At 52.6% G+C, this 18,887-nt stretch overlaps 1 protein-coding gene across 5 annotated transcripts in view, besides 2 other annotated features; it reads right to left on the minus strand.

Annotated features, from left to right (window-relative positions):
* Positions 1-18,887, minus strand: part of ANK1 (ankyrin 1) — a 243,517-nt gene that overhangs the window by 36,106 nt on the left and 188,524 nt on the right. For 4 of the 5 annotated variants that reach the window (NM_020477.3, NM_020475.3, NM_000037.4 and 1 more), the window contains exons 18-33: positions 16,813-16,911; positions 15,044-15,142; positions 14,711-14,809; positions 12,722-12,814; positions 12,220-12,292; positions 10,122-10,218; positions 8,713-8,791; positions 7,346-7,443; positions 7,033-7,257; positions 5,847-6,001; positions 5,262-5,473; positions 4,568-4,772; positions 3,775-3,871; positions 3,318-3,546; positions 1,144-1,269; positions 897-1,016 (exon numbers count right to left, since the gene is read on the minus strand). In NM_020477.3, coding sequence (NP_065210.2) covers positions 897-1,016; positions 1,144-1,269; positions 3,318-3,546; positions 3,775-3,871; positions 4,568-4,772; positions 5,262-5,473; positions 5,847-6,001; positions 7,033-7,257; positions 7,346-7,443; positions 8,713-8,791; positions 10,122-10,218; positions 12,220-12,292; positions 12,722-12,814; positions 14,711-14,809; positions 15,044-15,142; positions 16,813-16,911 — 2,106 coding nt within the window. Of the gene's footprint in view, positions 1-896; positions 1,017-1,143; positions 1,270-3,317; positions 3,547-3,774; positions 3,872-4,567; positions 4,773-5,261; positions 5,474-5,846; positions 6,002-7,032; positions 7,258-7,345; positions 7,444-8,712; positions 8,792-10,121; positions 10,219-11,100; positions 11,125-12,219; positions 12,293-12,721; positions 12,815-14,710; positions 14,810-15,043; positions 15,143-16,812; positions 16,912-18,887 lie in introns of all 5 variants that reach the window. The other variant, NM_001142446.2, reaches the window with a different exon arrangement.
* Positions 12,565-12,714: an enhancer, noted in NCBI's record as "active region_27292". NCBI's record gives its function as "activates an Ori minimal core promoter by ATAC-STARR-seq in GM12878 lymphoblastoid cells {active_cell/tissue: GM12878}" and the evidence as "EXISTENCE:reporter gene assay evidence [ECO:0000049][PMID:35858748]".
* Positions 12,725-12,804: an enhancer, noted in NCBI's record as "active region_27293". NCBI's record gives its function as "activates an Ori minimal core promoter by ATAC-STARR-seq in GM12878 lymphoblastoid cells {active_cell/tissue: GM12878}" and the evidence as "EXISTENCE:reporter gene assay evidence [ECO:0000049][PMID:35858748]".

Here is an 18,887-nt window from a genome sequence, read left to right on the forward strand (position 1 = left end):
GTTGCCCAGGCTAGTCTTGAACTCCTGGGCTCAAGCAATCCCTTGCCCCAGCCTCCCAAAGCACTGGGGTTACAGGCATGAGCCTCTGCGCCCAGCCTGAAAATCCTCTTTTGAAAAAGAAGTTGGTTCACCCTCATCTCATGCCCAAAAAGAAAAGAGAGATTGAGCCATGGACTTATGAATGTAACCTTGCTTCTTTCCTAGTTTAGCATGGAAGGCTAATGATTAAAACAACAACAGCAGCAAAACAACAGCAACGAAAACCACAGAGACGGTCTGGAGACGTATGATCCCTCCAAAGTCCCCAGCAGAGGTGGTGACTGGGATACTCTTACAGGTATCGACAAATGAACATACGTGGCCAAGACTCCTTTGCTGAGCTCAAAACCCTGGGTGTTTGCAGTGGCTGAGGACACCAGGCTTCCCTTCTGTGAGGGCCTAGCACCCTGGGAAGATAAGCAGGTAGATGAAAAAGCGGCCTGAGAGAAGCCGTGCAGGGGCTGGGAGACCTTAGCAGCTCTCCTTGGTGTGAACCTCAGAGGCCTCGGGCCAGGGACACCGAGGCAGATGCCCTTAGGGCCCCTTGTCACTTTCACACCTAGGGAGCCCAGGGTCCACAGCGTGAATGTGCCCATCACCATCTGATACCAACATTTGTTCTTCCTGTCCCATGACCAGCACTGCACTGCAAATTGCAGAGAGGGCCAGGGCATGGTCTCCCCGCCAGGCCACAACATGAGCATGTGGAGGAGAGCTCAGCACCTTTGCATGCCTCGGGGGACTCTAAGCTTCCACCAGGAAGAAGCCCCTTGGAAGTGCTGGACCTGGGGTCTGTTTGGGGACCTCCTACAGGGAAGCCGTCTCGGGCCAAGGCTCCTCGGCAGGTGCCAGCTCACCTTGGCGCAGGGGGGCATGGTGATGTTCAGGTGGCAGAGAATGTGCTGGGTGTCCTCGTACTTCATCGCCTTGCGCAGAAACGACAGGGACCCTCCCGGCTCTCGACTGCTGTCCCTCACCTAAACTCAATCACACAAAGGAGAATTCAGGGGCCCTTTTCTAGGCCACCCGGCTGTCTGGTTTAGGGAATTCTGCCTCCCCAACTTTCTAGACCCAGAGGAGAACTCAGCCAGAGGGTGCCGGCACCTTTACAGGCATGGCCAGACGGTTCTCCCGAAATGACTGGAAGTGGAAGCTCCGCTGCTGGGCAGCTTTCTTCACAGGCACCAGGTTCCCAGAGAGTTCTGCAAACAGGGACATTCCTTCCAACACCTGCAGGAGAGGAAAAGCAGATACAGCTTGTCAGGGAGAGAAGGGCCCAGATGTCCCTCCTTCCACCTTCGGTCCTTCCCTCTCCAAGACACACCCTGCCTCAGCAAGAGGCATGCGGGTGTGTGCTGAGAAATCCACTGTTTGTTTTGGGAAAGGCTTTATTTCCAAAATTGTGATCAATGAGGCATGCTTCCCGACTTCAACAGATTTTGTAATATGTAGGGATCTTCAAATATCCCTGAGATGTTGATGGGAATTGCTATCAAGTATTCCAAAACTTCACTTGAATATCATAACATAGCTTCTGAAAACAACAACAACAACAACAAACCCTGGTTCTGGGCTGGGCATGGTGGCTCACGCCTGTAATCCCTCCACTTTAGAAGGCCAAAGTGGGAAGATTGCTTAAGTTCAGGAGTTTGAGACCAGCCTGGGCAACATAGGAGATCCTCATCTTTACAAATTTTTTTAAAAAAACTAGCCAGGTGTGGTGGCATGTGCCTGTAGTCCCAGCTACTTGGGATGCTGAGGCAGGAGGATCACTGGAGGCCAGGAGTTTAAGGCTGCAGTGGGCTATGATGTCACAACTGCACTCCAGCCTGGGCAACAGACTGAGATCCTGTTTCTAAAAATAAAACCAAGGTTCTGTTTTTATGTCTGTCCAAAGATGCTTTGTTCATGACAAGAGCTGGAAAGCACTTGCTCTGTTTTAATCTCACTCATTGTTATGGGTGAGCTTTCAACTGAGAAGTTATCACTAACTCATTTGACAGTTGAAAAAATTGAGGCTGAAAGAGAAAAACCGGTTTGCCTCGTTAGTGCCTAAGACAGGATTAGAACCAAGGTTATAGTCCTGCACTTGTTCTCTGGGGCCCTCAGCCTTCCCCAGGAAAACTCAGTGCAGATTCTGAGGATTAGATCACTGCTGGCTTACTACACATCTTAACCCAAGTGGGTCTCTTAGGATCGGTAACTGGTTCAGACCTAGCCCCCATGCCTTCACTCTTCACATTATCTGTCGAGCCCTTTCCTCTGCCTCCTCACCTGGGTGCTACTGAAACCCTAGCACAGCAGGTTATAATGTAGACTCTGGGGCCAGAGATGACCTGGATAAATCCCATCTCCACCACTCACTTAGCTGTGTGACCATTGGCAAGTTACTTAACCTCTCAGCCTCAGTTTCTTAATACACAAATAAGGGATAATAAAGGTACCCATAAATATGAGAATTAAATGAGAATATGCAAGAAAAGCACTTTTAGTTATTTATTTAATAGAGATGGTGTCTCACTACGTTGTCCAGACTGGTCTCAAACTCCTGGGCTCAAAGCGATCCTCCTGCCTCAGCCTTCCAAAGTGTTGGGATTATAGGCGTGAGCCTCTGAGCCTGGCCAGCACTTTTATTTGTTTGTTTTTTGTTTTGTTTCCTGCCCCCACCACCATACTCAGCTGGCTAGCACTTTTTTTTTTTTTTTTAAACAGAGTCTTGCTCTGTCACCCAGGCTGGAGGGCAACAGTGCGATCTCGGCTCACTGCAACCTCTGCCTCCCGGGTTCAAGTGATTCTCCTATCTCAGCCACCCGAGTAGCTGGGATTACAGGCACGTGCCATCATGCCCGGCTAATTTTTGTATTTTTAGTAGAGACAGGGTTTCACCATGTTGGCCAGGCTGGTCTCGAACTCCTGACCTCAGGTGATCTGCCCGCCTTGGCCTTTCAAAGTGTTGAGATGAAAGGCGTGAGCCACTGCGCCCGGCATGGCCAGCACTTTTAATAGTCCCTGGTGCACAAGACCTTCGGCAAATGCCAACTCTTTTCATAGATCACTGGACCAAAAGCCTGCAGCCTCCTCTGAGATGTGCATGGTGGCATCTCTCTCCTTTCCTGAAGCTTCTCTAAGATGCTTCTCAAGAGGGGTCTCAAAGACAGACAGCTGTGGAGCCCCTCGTCTACAGAGGGAGGACTGCCTGCCTGCACCTGGTAATGGTGTTCTGGAGAAAACGGCAGGACGGTTTGTCCCAGAGGCGGTGCAGGGCCCAGCCCTGTTACCTCTATGTCCCTGCTCCGGGCCACCTCCACGAAGTTCTCATGCTGCTCCAGGGTCTTGTCCACTTTATCATCTGTCATGCAGTAGCAGCGCAGGCGCCCCTCTCGGGGGTCATTCATCTTGGCAAAGATGACGAATTTGGCCATGTAGGGCACTGCAGTGAGCTCTTTGTACAGCAGGGTGGCAAAGTTCACAGCCTCAGCAGTCCGAGGACAGTCCGACAGCCAAAACCTAAAAAGTAGGGCGAGTTATGTGTTCCCAAGTGCCCAACAGAGAGCATCCTTTCCATCCAGACGGGAGCAGCCCGTGAGCCATACCATGGCTACTATTGCCACACCTGTGGTCACGGAGGCTTCCACATGGAGGGGACAGTGAGGGAGCCTCAGCCTCAGGCCTGGACGGCAGCATAGAGCCTGAGGACGGCCCACACAATACTGGGCTGGGCTGGCCTCGTCTCACCTGGCAGAGACATTGGTGGTGAAGTTGGCGCACTCGTTGGCATATACAAGTTTGGTGGTTCCTGTTATGTCTTCCCACTGGGCTTGGTCTGTTCCTCCTGTAACAGCGGCAGAAATGGGGCTGGGGACAGTCTTCAGGATGTAAGCATGGAGCTTACTAAAATGCTAAGGCCGTGGTGTGCAAGGTGAGACTGGGTGAAGCTCACTTTGTCTGCAGCCCTGGGCACCCTACCCTCACCCCGCTGCTCTTCCTCCTAGCAACCTGCATGCCCCTCCTCCTAGGGCTTGGAGAGTTCTTCCCCAGGGGCATGGACTTTTTTTTTTTTTTTTTTTTTTTTTTTTTTTTTTTTTGAGATGGCGTTTCATGCTTGTTGCCCAGGCTGCAGTGTAGTGGAATGATCTCGGCTCACTGCAACCTCCACCTCCCAGGTTCAAGCAATTCTCCTGCCTCAGCCTCTGGAGTAGCTGGGCTTACAGGTGCATGCCACCATGCCTGGCTAAGTTTTGTATTTTTAGTAGAGACGGGGTTTCTCCATGTCTCGAACTCTTGACCTCAGGCGATCCACCCGCCTTGGCATCCCAAAGTGCTGGGATTACAGGCGTGAGTCACCACATGGGCATGGACTTTTATGCAGATACATCATCCTTCCATCTCTTGGAAGAGCACCTCACTCCCGGGGAAGTCAACAAAAACTAAGGGGATTGCTGGCCTCGCCTTCTCGAGTCACCCCCCTACTGTGTTCCAGACGCACTGCAGCAGCCGAGAACAGAAGCGAGGCAGGGGCCCCTCTCACCAATGACGCTGCAAAGCAGGCGCAGGCTGGTGGTGTCTCCCTCCCCGCTGTCCCTCGGGTTGTCGGTCCAGGAAGGAGGTAGTGGGATCCGAAGCCCAATGGGGCGGTGGAACTTCCGGCGCCGGGGCTCCACGGTGACAATGGGGCTGAATGTGGCCTGGTTGCCCAGGAGCTTAGTGACAAGCTCATCCGGGACAGGCTGGGCCTGTGAAATGACAGAGGCAGGACACTCAGGCCCAAGCAGGAGAGGGGCTAATCAGACGGGAGGCAGCTCCATGCCTGGTGAGAGTGGCCGTCAGTGCACGGGGTCCCGCCCTGCTGTTGGACCACAGAACCGACACGGTGGAGCTTGCCTTCCTGAGCCCTTTCTCCCCTTCTCCTCTGCTTCTTACTCCCAGGGCTGGTGCATCTTTGCTAGCACCACAGTCAACTCCCGGAGGTCATGCGGTTCCTGCATGCTGCACAGACTGGGCCGTGCAGCTTGATGGGTTACCAGGGGTTCTGCAACTTATCAGGGAGCTTCCACCTCACCCCTTCCCACTTAACTCTCCTTTGAGCTTTAAACTCAGATCTCCACTGTGGCATTTCAAAGCACCAGACAAAAGTGTGGGGATGTCCTGGGGAAGAGGGTGGCCTTCCCGGAGGCCTGGAGTTCAGTCCACCCCCAGGACCTGGCGGGGAGGAGGGCTGTCACCTGCAGAGCCAGCTTCACTCTCTTGGTGACGGCATTCTCCGGGAACGTTGCCTGTACCAGGGGCACCAGCTTGCTCTTCAGGGAGCCCCCTTCGGGACCGATGGTGTCGTAGTCCTGGCAGAGCCGTGACATGATCACGAAGTACAGCGGGAAGTCGGTGGTGATGATTCGGCACACCCTCTTCTTCTCTAGCTCCTCCAGGCTCCCCAGCTCTGGAATCACACACACAGGCCACCACCCCGGTCACATCAGGCACAGGTTCAGGACTTCCAGGGGCCCCAGAGTCTCCTTGTCCCCAAGACCCAGTGCACACACCCTCCCCAGGTGCCGGGCGGCATAGTGGCCAGAAGAAGTGGCCAGAAGAAGTGCCCAGGCCCAGAGGCCCAGCAGAGCAGATGCGGCTGCAGGCAGCCGCTGAGCATCCTCTCACACATCCTGGGGACCCAGGGCTTGTCCACACCAGGCCATTCTCAGCCTCTTGGGGCTTCCCAAACTTCAGGTGGCCCTCAAAGACCACCTTTAAGGTGCAACTCAAACCCCTCTTCCGCAAGGAGGGGACCCAGCCCTGGGATCCCCCGCCCCTACCTTCGTCCATCCCGTTGAGGATCTGATCCAGGTAGCTCTCTCCATAGCGGCTCCTGTGCTCCTTCCACACGGAGCCGTTTTCGCTCCTCAGAACCACGAGCTCGCGGTCTCCACGGCCATGGGAGGCAAAGTGCGGGATCTCCACGATTACAGGGCTGAGGCAAGGACACAGTGGTGGTGGGGAGGTGCTCATACAAGGCAGGCAGGGCACAGGGAGGGATGGGGCTGCCGGCTCCCACCCAGATGGATAAGGCACTTCCGCAGCCACGTGGAGGCCCCACCTGCAGGCAGGTCTCTAAGTGGACCAGACCCATGGGGAGGTTCCCCAGGGCTTCCCATGGCCCCGCTTGCTCCCCGCCAGGCCTGCAGTGACAGTGAGGGCAGGACCAGTCTCATTTCATGCGGGCTCTGCTCCTACGACCTAAAGATCCTGTCCTTGCACCTGATTCCAAAAATCCACCTGACATCCCTAGACGGGTGACCTCATCTATCAACTGGCCATAATGACATTTCCTTCAGAGGGACACTTTGAGGACAAAGAAACGTCAACGAGAAAACTTGCTGCTTTGCAAATGGTGGTGACCGCTCTGAGGGGCCAGGAGGGCGGACAGAGGTAGAAGGCAGGGCCTCCTGGTCAGGCCTGTCCCCACAACACACCCATGGTGCCTGAGGGGCAGCAAAGCTCCAGGAGGAGCCCAGGCTGCTTCAAGGGAGTGGAGCACAGGCCTCTGGAGCCGGGTACTTCCCTCGTCCTCAGGGGAAACGGCCAGGGAGGCCGTCTTACTGGGAACTCTCAGTGCATAAAAGGTCAGACCCTCAGGCTTCAGAGTGGCCTTGTCTCTAGTGTCACACAATATTTAAGAGTTGTTTTTTTGGTTTTGCTTTTTATTTTTTACAACGACGGGGTCTTGCTATGTTTTCCAGGCTGGTCTCGAACTCCTGGCCTCAAGCGATGCTCTCACCTCAGCCTCCCAAAGCACTGAGATTACAGGCGTGAGCTATCGTGCCCGACCTGAGATCTGAGAGTTGTAAGCCCTCTCAGGGCTATGGACACCTTCGTGTGTCAGGAAAAGTCAGGGAAAGGGGAGGGGCACCCAGTTCTGTTTCCCCATCAGGACAGATGGAAATGGCGTGGCCTCCGTGGCACAGGGACAGGGGAGAACACGGGCTGCCCGCGCAAGCTCACCTCAGGAACTGTGCCCCCGTGGGCCCCAGTGCTATGATCCTGCTGGCCAGGCCCTCCTCCTCGGCCAGTGGGGGCGGCGTGCTGAGCTTCTGGGGCTTGACCAGGCGGCAGGTGATGCGGGTGGGCGCTGCGCACGTCCGTGGCGGGATCACCACTCGCAGGCCGTTGTGGCGACTTCCTCTCATGGAACCACCCCGGGCGTCAACCATGAAGCTCACCAGAAACCTAGGAGTGGGGCAGATGCACGTTGGGCTTCTGCATCCCCTCTCGGAGATGGAGACAGGAGTCCCCGAGCCCTGCGCCCGCCACTCACCCTGTATGCACCGGGCTGGCCACCGGGCTGATGTTGTCTGAGGTCTCGGTGGCCGGGCTGCTGGGGATGAGGGAGTCCTCATCATACTCTTTAGATGCCTGAGGAGAGAGAAAGGGTCCTCCTGTCCCACCTCCTCCCGGGCCAGCTGGATGCCGTGCCAGGGCGTGGAGGCTTGGAAGAACCTTGCCGCTAGAAACCAGGTGCCACGTGGAGAAAGTGCTCCCACGGGACCCCACCGCCCTGTCAGACAAGGCCGTCCTGAGGTCTAAAAGGAAGCACGAGCTTCCTCCCACCTCCATGCCTCTCCTTGGCTCAAGACCCTGGGACAGAGCCTTGGAATGGGTGGAGCCAGTCCTCACTGTTCAGTCTGGCTCCAGGCCCCAGGCCCGCTGCACCTGCTGCAGACCCGCCCCCCTTCTCTCCAGCTCTGCCCATGGGGAGCCCTGCCCTCAGCAGGCCAACTTCCTCTAGGGTGGGCACTGCATCCCAGCACCGTGACCGCCTCGCCAGTTAGCTGTGGGCGGACTACCTGCCCTGTGGACATTTGGAGCCCATGAGGTGAACACAACAGACTCCTGCCCTTGTGGGGCTTCCTGCCTCCTCACCTGTGCAACGGGAACTTGCCTTAGGGTAACGCTGCAACTACAGGGATGCCAGGCTGCCCTGGCACAGCCAGCAGCACCTGAACCTAGCCTTGCTGCTCTCTAGATCTTCACATTTGCTTTTCCCCCGGTCCAGAACGTCCTTGTCCATCGCCCTTGTTGATCTAATCCTCTCCACTCCCCACATCTCACCTCCTCCACAGATGCTCCCAGCCACCTTGGGGCTGGTTAGGGCCTCCCTGCTCTGCACTCTGTGAGCACTCACACCACACAGTGGAGCACTCCCCCGCTCTCCCTCCTGGTTCTGTGCTAACTGGGTTCATGCGTCCGAGTCCACTCTTTCTGGTTGGGCCCCGGCTCCCAGGAGGCAGGTGTCCAGCCCTCCTGCCTGAGCCTGTCCGGGGTGCACAGCAGGAATCCAGTAAACATCTGCTGGCTGGAGTTCCTACCCTAGGCCAAGAGTTGAAGACAGTGGGCTGGTCAAGGACCCACTGGTTTCTCACTGCTGCTGTCCTGGGCTGCATCCAAGGACTGCGCCACCACAGGAAAGGGCCCCATCTGACCATCTCTTCCAGACGCCGCCCACCCAGCGCCACCAATGTTGCACCATTATGAGGCGTCCAAGCGTGGAATGCCAGTTGGACAGTGAGTGGCATGTGAGCTATTAGTGCCTATTGTGCTACGTACAGGCCACCCCTCAACAATCACTGTCCCAGGGTTTTCATGCCCTCCATGTGGGGAAACCACAGAGAAGGAGCTTCTCACCTGCTCCTGCTCTTCTGACCTGATCACCACTGTCTCAGGCATGGCACAGGGAATCCTGGGGATGGCTGGAGATTCCACCCTGCGTGCCAAGAACACCAGAACATCACAGGGCTGATCCACATGTGCACACAGCTCCTCTTCCTCTTGCCTCCAAGCCTCTCCCTCCGGCTTTCCACTCCAGAGCCTGACTGCGCTTCACAACCTGGTGGAAGGACCGCCTCCTCCTCCATGAAGTCCTCCCCAATGACTCCAACCTGCACTTGTCGCCCCTTTCTCTACCTTTAGAACCTGTTGACAGAATCCTCGCTCTGGCTAACAATATATCTTTCTGTGTTGCTACATGACCACTTGGTGTGCATTTCGATCCCACCAAATGAGTCCGTAAGTTGCTTACGGTCAGGGTTACAGCTCTGTATTTCTTTCTAACAGATGTCCAGCAAATTCAAATGGAGTAAATGGCCCAGTGGTTTCACTCCCTGCTTGTTCATGGGACACTTCCATCTTTTCAGAAAACACCTAGGGCTCAGTGTTTCTACAAAGTCGTTGATATTAGATTGCTTTGCAAAATGTCCCTGTGTACACTGTGCCCCACAGTGAGATAACTCACAGCAGTCACAGGGGGAAATGAGAAATGTGGTCCAGGCAGGCAGACCCGGATCTCCCCTGGCTTGTACCTAACATACCTCAGGGGCAGAGGTATACAGTCAAGAGTTCGAGCTTAGCCTGGCAATAGTTTCTAATGTGAATCTTCCTCAACAATTTTTTTTTTTTGAGATGGAGTTTCGCTCTTGTTGCCCAGGCTGGAGTGCAGTGGCGCGATCTTGGCTCACTACAACCTCCGCCTCCCGGGTTCAAGCAATTCTCCTGCCTCAGCCTCCCGAGTAGCTGGGACTACAGATGCGTGCTGCCACGCTCAGCTATTTTTTTTGTATTTTTAGTAGGGACAGGGTTTCACCATGTTGGTCAGGCTGGTCACGAACTCCTGACCTCAGGTGATCCTCCTGCCTCAGTCTCCCAAAGTACTGGGATTACAGGTGTGAGCCACCGCACCCGGCCATCTTCTTCAACTTTTGGATGAGAAGTTGAGTGTGGATAAGAGGGAGAGGGGGTGTGGATATAAGGCTGTGAATGAGGGGAGCCTGGGAGAGGATGGGAGCCTGGGTGGGAGAGGAGGGGAGCCTGGAAGAGGAGCAGAGAGGCGTCCAGGCAGCACGGTGTGAGGGAGGCCTCCGCCTGCCCTAGTGGCTAGGGTGCAGAGCTAGCTCATCCTAAGGTGCAAACCGTCTCTCTCTGCGGGCAGCGAGCCCAGCGCCTGGCCTGCTGTGTCCTTCCTCCCTCTGGAATCCCTGCTCTGAGCCACAGGGTTGCATCTCGGCACCCCCGGGGACCCTCCCGGGAGCACTGCTCACACTTGGTCTAGCTTCGGCACAAAATCCAGCAGCTCCTTCTCTTCATCAACATCCCTGGAATCCCGCCTCTCAGCCTTGAAGCTGATGAGTTCTTCCCCTGAAACAGCAAGAGCTCAAGTGAGCGACGGGGTAGAGGAAGAAGAGTCCCTCTTTTTTTAAAAAAGCTCTGTTCCCGCTCCGCCTCTGGGGGCTTGCTCCTGAGGAGTGGGGAAGGTCTTGATGCTGCAAGGAGACTGGGAGCAATGTCTTTGCCCAGTCCTGGTCCTCCAGCTCTGGGATAGAGAGCAGGGCAGCCAGCTCCTGACATCTTAGATGCCTGAGGCTTTGCAGGAGGCCAAAGACACAGCCAGAAAGAACTTTGTTCGCTTAGTTCCAATTCAAAACAGCCCTTTTAGCTGTGCAATGGCACCAAAGAAGGAACTGCTACTGCTCTTTTCCACTCCACACCAACAGAAGAATAAATTACAGTGGAACTGGACCCACTCATTTCAAAGGGCTGGAGAATTTTTTGTAACAATGGCAGCCAAAACCTCATTACTTCCAAAGCCTATCACAAAGAGTTTCAAACTACGGGTCAATCGGCTGCCTACACCTCTGACTGCCTCTTTGTTTCTCTCTCCTAGCTTCAACTGGAGCTGGAGCCCCGGCCCTCGACCTTGAGGGGTCATTCATTGCCACCCAGGAGTGAGCACCATGGCTTGTGATCTGGAGCTGATGGAATGGAAGAACAACAGCTCATGCGGTTATGATCATAAACACGGTGGCATGGGCACAGACACAAAGATGGACAGGCAGGAGGTGCCCGCCAGGCATGGGTCTCATGGGTGTGAATTCCCTGGTTTAGCTGAGCTCCTGGCTCCAGCTTATTAGCTGTCAGAGGAAGATGGAAAGCAGGAATGGATTAGTGAGCATCAGGGTTGCTTAGGGTGAAATGCACTCTAGTGAGAAAAGACCACAGTAAACAGAAAGCATTTCATACCCATTATAGTTATATGAGCAGTTCCTGGAAAGCAAAGGAGAGCAGAATTGAAAGAAGGACCACATTGAAGGCAGTTAAAGCGAGAGGCATATATTATCCAAAGGAGCACCAGAAGCTCTGCTTCTCTAGTTGACAAAGTTATACAACCATGAAATTATCCAGATGGAAGGGACCACTGAGCTGATCCAGCCCACCCCACTATTCAACATCCTCAGAGTTGAGGATCCTACTACTCAACATCCCCATCTAATTAGTGATGAAATAAGGTTTGCTGGGGGTAGGAAAAATACTAGAAGCATTCTGTAGTTCATACAAGCTGATACTATAGTAATTTCTTTCTTTTTCTTTTAGAGACAGGGTCTTGCTCTGTCACCCTGGCTGGAGTGCAGTGGGGTGATTACAGCTCACTGCAGCCTCAAGCTCCTGGACTCAAGCAATCCTCCCACCTCAGCCTCTGGAGTAGCTGGGACTACAGATGTGCACCACCACACCCTGCTAATTTTTAGTTCTAATTTTTTGGAGAGACGGGGGTCTCCCTATATTGCCCAGGCTGGTCTTGAACTCCTAGCCTCAAGCAATCCTCCAACCTCGGCTGCCCAAAGTTCTGGGATTACAGGCATGAACCCAGGCACCCAGCCAGACTATAGTAATTTCATAATCACAGAAATAACCCAAAACCTATTGACCCACTATGTGGTCAGAAGTGCAGCTTAAAAGGCATGCTCACAGATTTTGAATAATCCACTTAGTATTCGTTCAAAGCACAAAGAAAGAACCAGGCAGAATTTTATTACAGTTCCTCATGGTGCGGAGACTTGATCTCAGTAGAACCACGCTCCGATTTCATACACATCCATAATCTATGCAAACATACATGTGTTTTTGAAACTTCATGGGATTTTAAATTTAGTCAATGTTCCCTCACCTAAGTATTAATAGAGCAGTATTTTTGATAGTAGACAACAGTTATAAAAACCAGGTCTCCCCAGTTTCAGTGTCCATCTATAGTGCTTGGGCGTGTTGTAAGGGGACAAAGCCGGCAGGTGGCAGGAAGCCCCCTTGGAGGGTGCCCGGAGCCCCTCTGTCCCCACCAGCCTGAGCTCTTTACCCCAACGTTACCTTCATCTTCCGAGACATCCAGGATCTCATCAACTGTCTCAGGGAAACTCATTCGATGCTTATCACTGACTAACTAAAACGAGAAAAAGCAGATAATTCAACCCAAACTAGAGCCGCACACATTTTTTACCAGCCCAGCGGTTCCCTGGTCATGCCTGTGGGGTTTCCCACAAATGAAGAAAAACAGACGGAGGAGGCGCTCAGCCTGGAAGCTGCCGGGCAGGAACCACGGGGACGGGACCCGGGAAAACTGGCTTCCCATCTCCCCAAACCCCATCCACTCCACTGCTGCCCGGAAAGCTGGTCCCGCCCCTAGTCCTCGGGCCGCTAGGTGGCAGCACAGCCCCGCTGGAAGGAGGACAAGCTCCCACCCGTCGGGCGCGGCGCCTCCGACCCGCGTCCCGGAGCCCCAGAACGCACCCCACTTCCAGAGTAACCCCAGGCACGCCTGTGCGCCAGGCTGAGTGTGTCTGGGGTGGGTGCGGGGGAGAGGCAGACATACCACGAAACTGGTTTCATCCGTGACGACCTTGAGCACGTCGGTGACAGAAATGTAGCCCAAGCGCTTGGCTATGGCCAGAGGTGTGGTTCCATCCTGGGGAAAGAGCAGCCCGGGTGCAGTCAGACAGGGGATGGAGTCTAGGAGGCGGGGCTGGCTCCCTAGACACAGATCGAGTTCACCTTCTAGTTGTTCAGGAGGACCTGAGTGGACAGACGTCACCGTGGGGCCCAGAAAGAGATCCCTGCACGTGTGTGTGCCTAGATGTGTGTTAGCAGCAGCACCCACAGAGACGGGTGTGGGAGGAGGGAGGGCAGCGGTGCTTTCGATCTGCAGCGTCAAGTGTGGGGCCTTGCAACCCAGCAGAGGAAATCTCCCAAGGAGAAGTCAGGCTCTGCTAAGTGGGAACCCACTGGGAAGGAGGTCAGGAAGTTGCCAGATGCAATTTTAGGAAGATGAGGACAGAGGAAGGCTGCTTGCTGCTCCCAAAGTCTGTTCTTGGGTGTCAGTGATGGGGTATTAAAATAGTTGAATTAATCCATATACTTCAATGAACTCTAATCAGAATACTCGGAAATCACAAATCACCAGAAATACAGCAAGGGCATATTTTCTACTTTGATTCAAAGAGGAAGAGCTACGTGATCATAAATGGATACTGAGGCTTGATTTTTCTTTTGACTTCTCTACTTCTAGGATGTGCCTTGGGCTCCGTTCAGATTCAAGCCCAGCTGCAGTTGCAATTTCTGCAACCCCATCTACAATCGAGTCCACTTTTGTGTGTGTGTGTGAGACAGAGTTCACTCTGTCACCCAAGCTGGAGTGCAGTGGCGTGATCTAGGCTCACTGTAACCTCTGCCTCCTGGAGTCAAGTGGTTCTTGTGCCTCAGCCTCCCGAGTAGCTGGGACTACAGGTGCCTGTCACCTCACTCAGCTAATTTTTTTTTTTGTATTTTTAGTAGAGACAGGGTTTTGCCCTGGAGTGTTGGCCAGGCTGGTCTCGAACTCCTGACCTCAAGTGATCCACCTGCCTTGGCTTCCCAAGGTGCTGGGATTACAGGCATGAGCCACTGCACCCAGCCAAGGGTCCACATTATTTCAGAGATAGAAGCAGACACGGAGATAATTTCACAGAACTTCCACATGGTCAGATGAAGAAGCTCACACCGAACGATGATTGCTGATGTCACTAAAGATAACCTTGAGCCCTGAAAGATCAGGAACCACCCAGGACATTTAATTATGTTCAGTTGTACCATACTGAAAACAGTTTCACATATTTTAGAATGGGTTTCAACAAGTATTTATATATGTGGTATGTATGTGTGTGTGTGCATATATATATATGTATATGTGTGTGTGTGTGTGTGTGTGTATATATATATATATATATATATATATATTTTTTTTTTTTTTTTAAGACACAAGGTCTTGCTCTGTCTTCCAGGCTGGATGTCAAGTGGGCAACTGGAAAATGGACACTGAACTGCAGTGGCGCAATCACAGCTCACTGCAGCCTTGACCTCCCGGACTCAGGCTATCCTCCCACTTCAGCCTCCCAATTAGCTGGGACTACAGCTAATACGTATCACCACACCCACATAATTAAAAAAATTTTTTTTTGTAGATTCAGGCACTCACTATGTTGCCCACGCTGGTCTTGAACTCCTGCCCTCAAGCAATCCTCCCACCTTAGCCTCCCAAAGTGCTGTGATTACAGGTGTAAGCCACTGCACTCACACTTAAGAATGTTTTAATAAACATAAAAGAGGAGGGTAAATGGTGCTTAAAAGGAAAACGATCAATTCACCAGAAAGAGGAACTGATCACAGCACCCCATCCCCAGGGTACCCAAGGTAGCTGTGGCTTTAGGGTGCTGCGGCCCCGTCCAGGCCCTAGACACGTGCATTAACCTCTACGGTTAGGGGAGTTCACACAGGGCTGCTGCCATGGGGAGCAGTTTTCTAAACTCAGGAGAGAGAGTGTACTCACCGAGCTGACCTCGTTTGGGGAAGCACCGTTTTTCAGAAGCAGAGTCACGATGTCTGTGTGTCCCTGCTGGGCTGCCTGGTGCAGGGGGCTGTATCCTAGCTGCAAAGTGAGCAGACATTTAGGCAGGGTTAGCCAGCCACTAGACAGAGACCTGCCTACACATGATAGTGCCTGCCCATCTTCGAAGTGGGACATTAATGAAATGCATTTTCCCCCTTTCTTCCTTCAGGGTCCATGGTCAAAACCCTAGTGCTCCCAGAGCAGCTCTGGCTTTACCCTGATGTGGCATGGAGAAGGGTCAGTGCAGGAGTCGGGGCTGGGGCACCCCTGTACCTTGGTCTTGGCATTGACATCTGCCTGGTGCTGCAGCAGAAACTTCACCAGCTTGATGTTTCCATAGTGACTGGCCACATGGAGGGGAGTGTAGCCCATCTGAAAAGCAGATGAGAAGGAGTGACCGGAGCTGTCCTGAGCTGGGCATCACATGAAATCCTTCCCAAAGCAGCTGATTCAAAGAGAGAACGGACAGGGAGCCCCTTGAAGGCTGACATTGACAAGCTGAATGGCTGCTGCTGGGCAGAGACCACCAGGCTGAGATGCTTGTGGGAGACCCAAGGGGAGACGTCAAGCGGGCAACTGGAAAATGGACACTGAACCGCGAGAAGAGGGCTATGCTGGGGTCGTCAGTGCATGGGAGATCTGAGAGCTTTGGAGGTGAGTGAGGTCCCCCAGAATAAAGTGGAGGGTGAAAAGTGGGGCCGAAGGAGTGAGGCAGAGGCAGAAAAGAGGAGGGAAACCTTGAGAGACCAGCATCACAGAATCCCAGGGGAGCTATTTCAAGAAGGAAGAAACAGCCTTCAGGCCTGGGAAGGGTGCTGAGATGAGGGCAGATGGGGATGTGGAGTCATGGTCACTCCAATGACAACAGGTTTTTTCCATTAGAAAGCTGAAATCCCATTGAAAAACCCCCAAAAGGCTGTCCAAGTGACTGTGGTGTAATGGAATTTATGAGAACTGGTCATTGCTTATTGAAATGCAAGGGCTTGGGACATTCGCTCATGTGAGTCTGGGCTGTTCAAGGAGTCTGTCCTGCTGAATTTTGTGGTAATGCCTTCCTGAATTTTGGGCCGACAGGCCAAGGCCCTCTGAGCTCCTTGGTCCCAAGTGTCCCGGGAAGCTGGTGCCAGATTCCAGAGACCACCCAAGCACAGATCCTCCCCATAATGGGATGGCTTTTGGATCCTCAAGGCCATTCTAACCCACAGGACAGGGTCTCTCTGTGCAGGACCCCAAAAGACTAAACGGGGCCCGCAAGTGAAGCCTCAAAGATCCAGAACATTCGTGGATTTTAAGCAGATTGCTGTGGAAGCTGCAGGCAGTTGGAGACAAAACACAATTTCCAGACTTTTCTCAGGGTGACTTCAGCATAACATTGTTGCCGGCATTTCTGTGCTACTCTGGAGGGGGCGGGAGCTCCTGGTACTGTCACTGTCCCTTCCTTTTAATATGGTTCCCTTGTGGGGAAAAGAAACAAAATGTGGCTTCTTCCATGAAGCCCACCTCCTCGCACCAACTGAAAACACCCTCTCTGCACTCTGTGCTCCCAGCTCCTCTCTTAAGAGTAAATATCAAATTATGCTCTTCCTTCCTGTCCCTAGCAATCACCTCCACACCAAACTGCAGACACCTCGACGGCAGATTCCATTCACATAGCTCCTTGCACACACCAGAAGTTCAAAGAAAGTTGAACTGGATTTAACCAAGTGCTGGAAGAAAAGGAGCTAAGCTTTTGTGTGGATCTGGGGAAACTTGACATTTTGACATGCTAACTACTCATGTTAGACAGGTCTTAGAGTCATGATTAAACATTCGCCCCACTTTCTCACTGCAGAGGCTCAAAGGTCTAGCAAACTTTAAAAAAATCCCCAATGGGAAAGTCAGGTAATTAGGAGTAGTGTTTTCAAACTCCACTGCCAGCCCTAGGAAGTGGCAGAGAAGAATGTCCCACTGGGTCTTTGGGGTTTCAAAGCTCTGTGGAAGATTCAATTCTGAAGTGTGAGCAAGGAGTCCACACAGACTGAAGTTCCGGCTGCCTGCCTTACCCGGGTGGTGGCGTCCACCATGACGCCGTGTTTGATCAGCACATCTGCCACTGGAACGTGGCCTTCTTGTGCTACCAGATGGAGGGGAGTGAGTCCGCTCTGCAAAGAAAAAGACGTTCATCACCTTCTATCAAGTAAAGAATTCCAGGCCACAAGTAAAGAGCTCTGAGGTCTGGGAGCTGAAGCTAACTTTGCAGTCACCAACTAGTTATTTGGCTCCAGGCAAAGCTCTTCCTGTTCTGGGCCCCAATGTCCTTATCTAAAAAGTAAGGTGGTTACACTAGACCAGGGGTTGGCAACTTTTGCTGTTAAGGGCCAGATCATCAATATTTTTGGCCATGTCTCTATATGACTAACATTTAAATGAATGGGCATGGCTGTGTTTCAATAAAACTTTATTTACACAAACAAGTGGTGGACCAGATTTGGCCCACGGGCCCATAGTTTGCTGACTTCTGATCTAGATGAACTTTATGGCACTTTCCCATCGTTGGTGCTTTATGGACTTCCCAGTAAAGAATGCCCCATTTCCATGGTGAATTTCAGAGCCCTGTAGCCTTGGTTTCCTAATCTAGACAATAGGGGTTATCATGGATCCATCTCAGGGGCAAGGTGAGGAGCGCTGGAGAAAGCACAGGTGAAGCACATTGAGAGGCACACAGTGCTGTTTAAATGGCTGGGCGCGGCGGCTCATGCCTGTCATCCCAGCACTTTGGAAGGCCGAGGCAGGTGGATCACCTGAGGTCAGGAGTTCGAGACCAGCCTGGCCAACATGGTGAGACCTCCATCTTTACTAAAAATACAAAAATAAGCAGGGCGTGGTGGCTCATGCCTGTAATCCCAGCTACTTGGGTGGCTGAGGCAGGAGAATCACTTGAACCTGGGAGGCAGAGGTTGCAGTGAGCCAAGATTGCACTACTGCACTTCAGCCTAGGTGACAGAGCAAGACTCCATCTTAAATAAATAAATAAATAATGTACCATACTGTTATCACTGCACAGCCAGTGCTGGCACGGTCAAGAGGGCAGAGCATCCCGCCAGGATTGAACGGACCATATTCTTGCAGGTGGCATCACAGCTTCGTCAGGAAGGCAGTAAGGTATCAGAGATGTTGTTTGATATGTGGGCACCCACATGAAAATGTCAGAAAAGTCTTCTCTCCCCTGGACTTTGCCTCAATACACTTTGCTAGCGTGGGACCAACAAAACGGATTTCTCTGCAGGCACAGACCGTGTCCCCTCTACAGGACTCCACTTGCCCTCCTCTGCCTTCTGCACACCCCGCAGGCTGCCCAGAGGCTTGTGGGCAGTCATGATGCCCCACCACACACTGCTGCAGCCAAAGCAGGTGGGCCCCTCCTGCAGGCAGGCGGGGGTGGCTCCAATGAGAACAGCCCTCGGTTGAGGAGTGACTGTGTCAGCCTCTCAGGCGGGCGCTCTGCCTCATTCTTGAGCTAACACCAATAATCTGCCTCGTGAGGGCGGCGTGCGGATGACAGAGTGGGTTTCCAGTCACCTTACGGTCTCCTTGCAAAGCTCACATTAAGTGGGGCAGTGAAGGAACCCAGAATGCCATGAGATATAATGAATATAATGGTCCTACCAGAATGGTTCGCTCATTGGGGGTCAATTGTTCAAATTTGTAAAAAATGTGCCAGATTTTGTACAAAATGTGCCAGATTTTGTACAAAATCTATAGGTTTTTAAGAAATCTTAAGTTGCCCTGAAAATGCTTGCCTTTCTGAATGTGTGCTATGTGAATTTATCATCAAAGAAGTGGTTCTTCACATTGCATGGTTCCACGTATATGAAATGTCCAGAACAGGCAAATTCCTAGAGACTGAAAGATTTGCAGTTGTGAGGGACCGGGGGCTCTGGGGGAAATGAGAAGTGACTGCTAACGGGTACGAGGTTTCCTTTCGGAGTGATGAAAGTGTTCTAGAGTTAGATCATAGGCTGCTGAATTCTGTAAAAATACTAAAAAACATTGAATTGTAGAGTTTGAAAGGGTGACTTCTAGGTGAATTATATTTCGATAAAACTGTTATTTAAAAAAGAAGTGATTTTTAGTCTTT

The sequence above is a fragment of the Homo sapiens genome, chromosome 8, assembly GCF_000001405.40.
Source record: "Homo sapiens chromosome 8, GRCh38.p14 Primary Assembly".
NCBI classification, from domain to species: domain Eukaryota; kingdom Metazoa; phylum Chordata; class Mammalia; order Primates; family Hominidae; genus Homo; species Homo sapiens.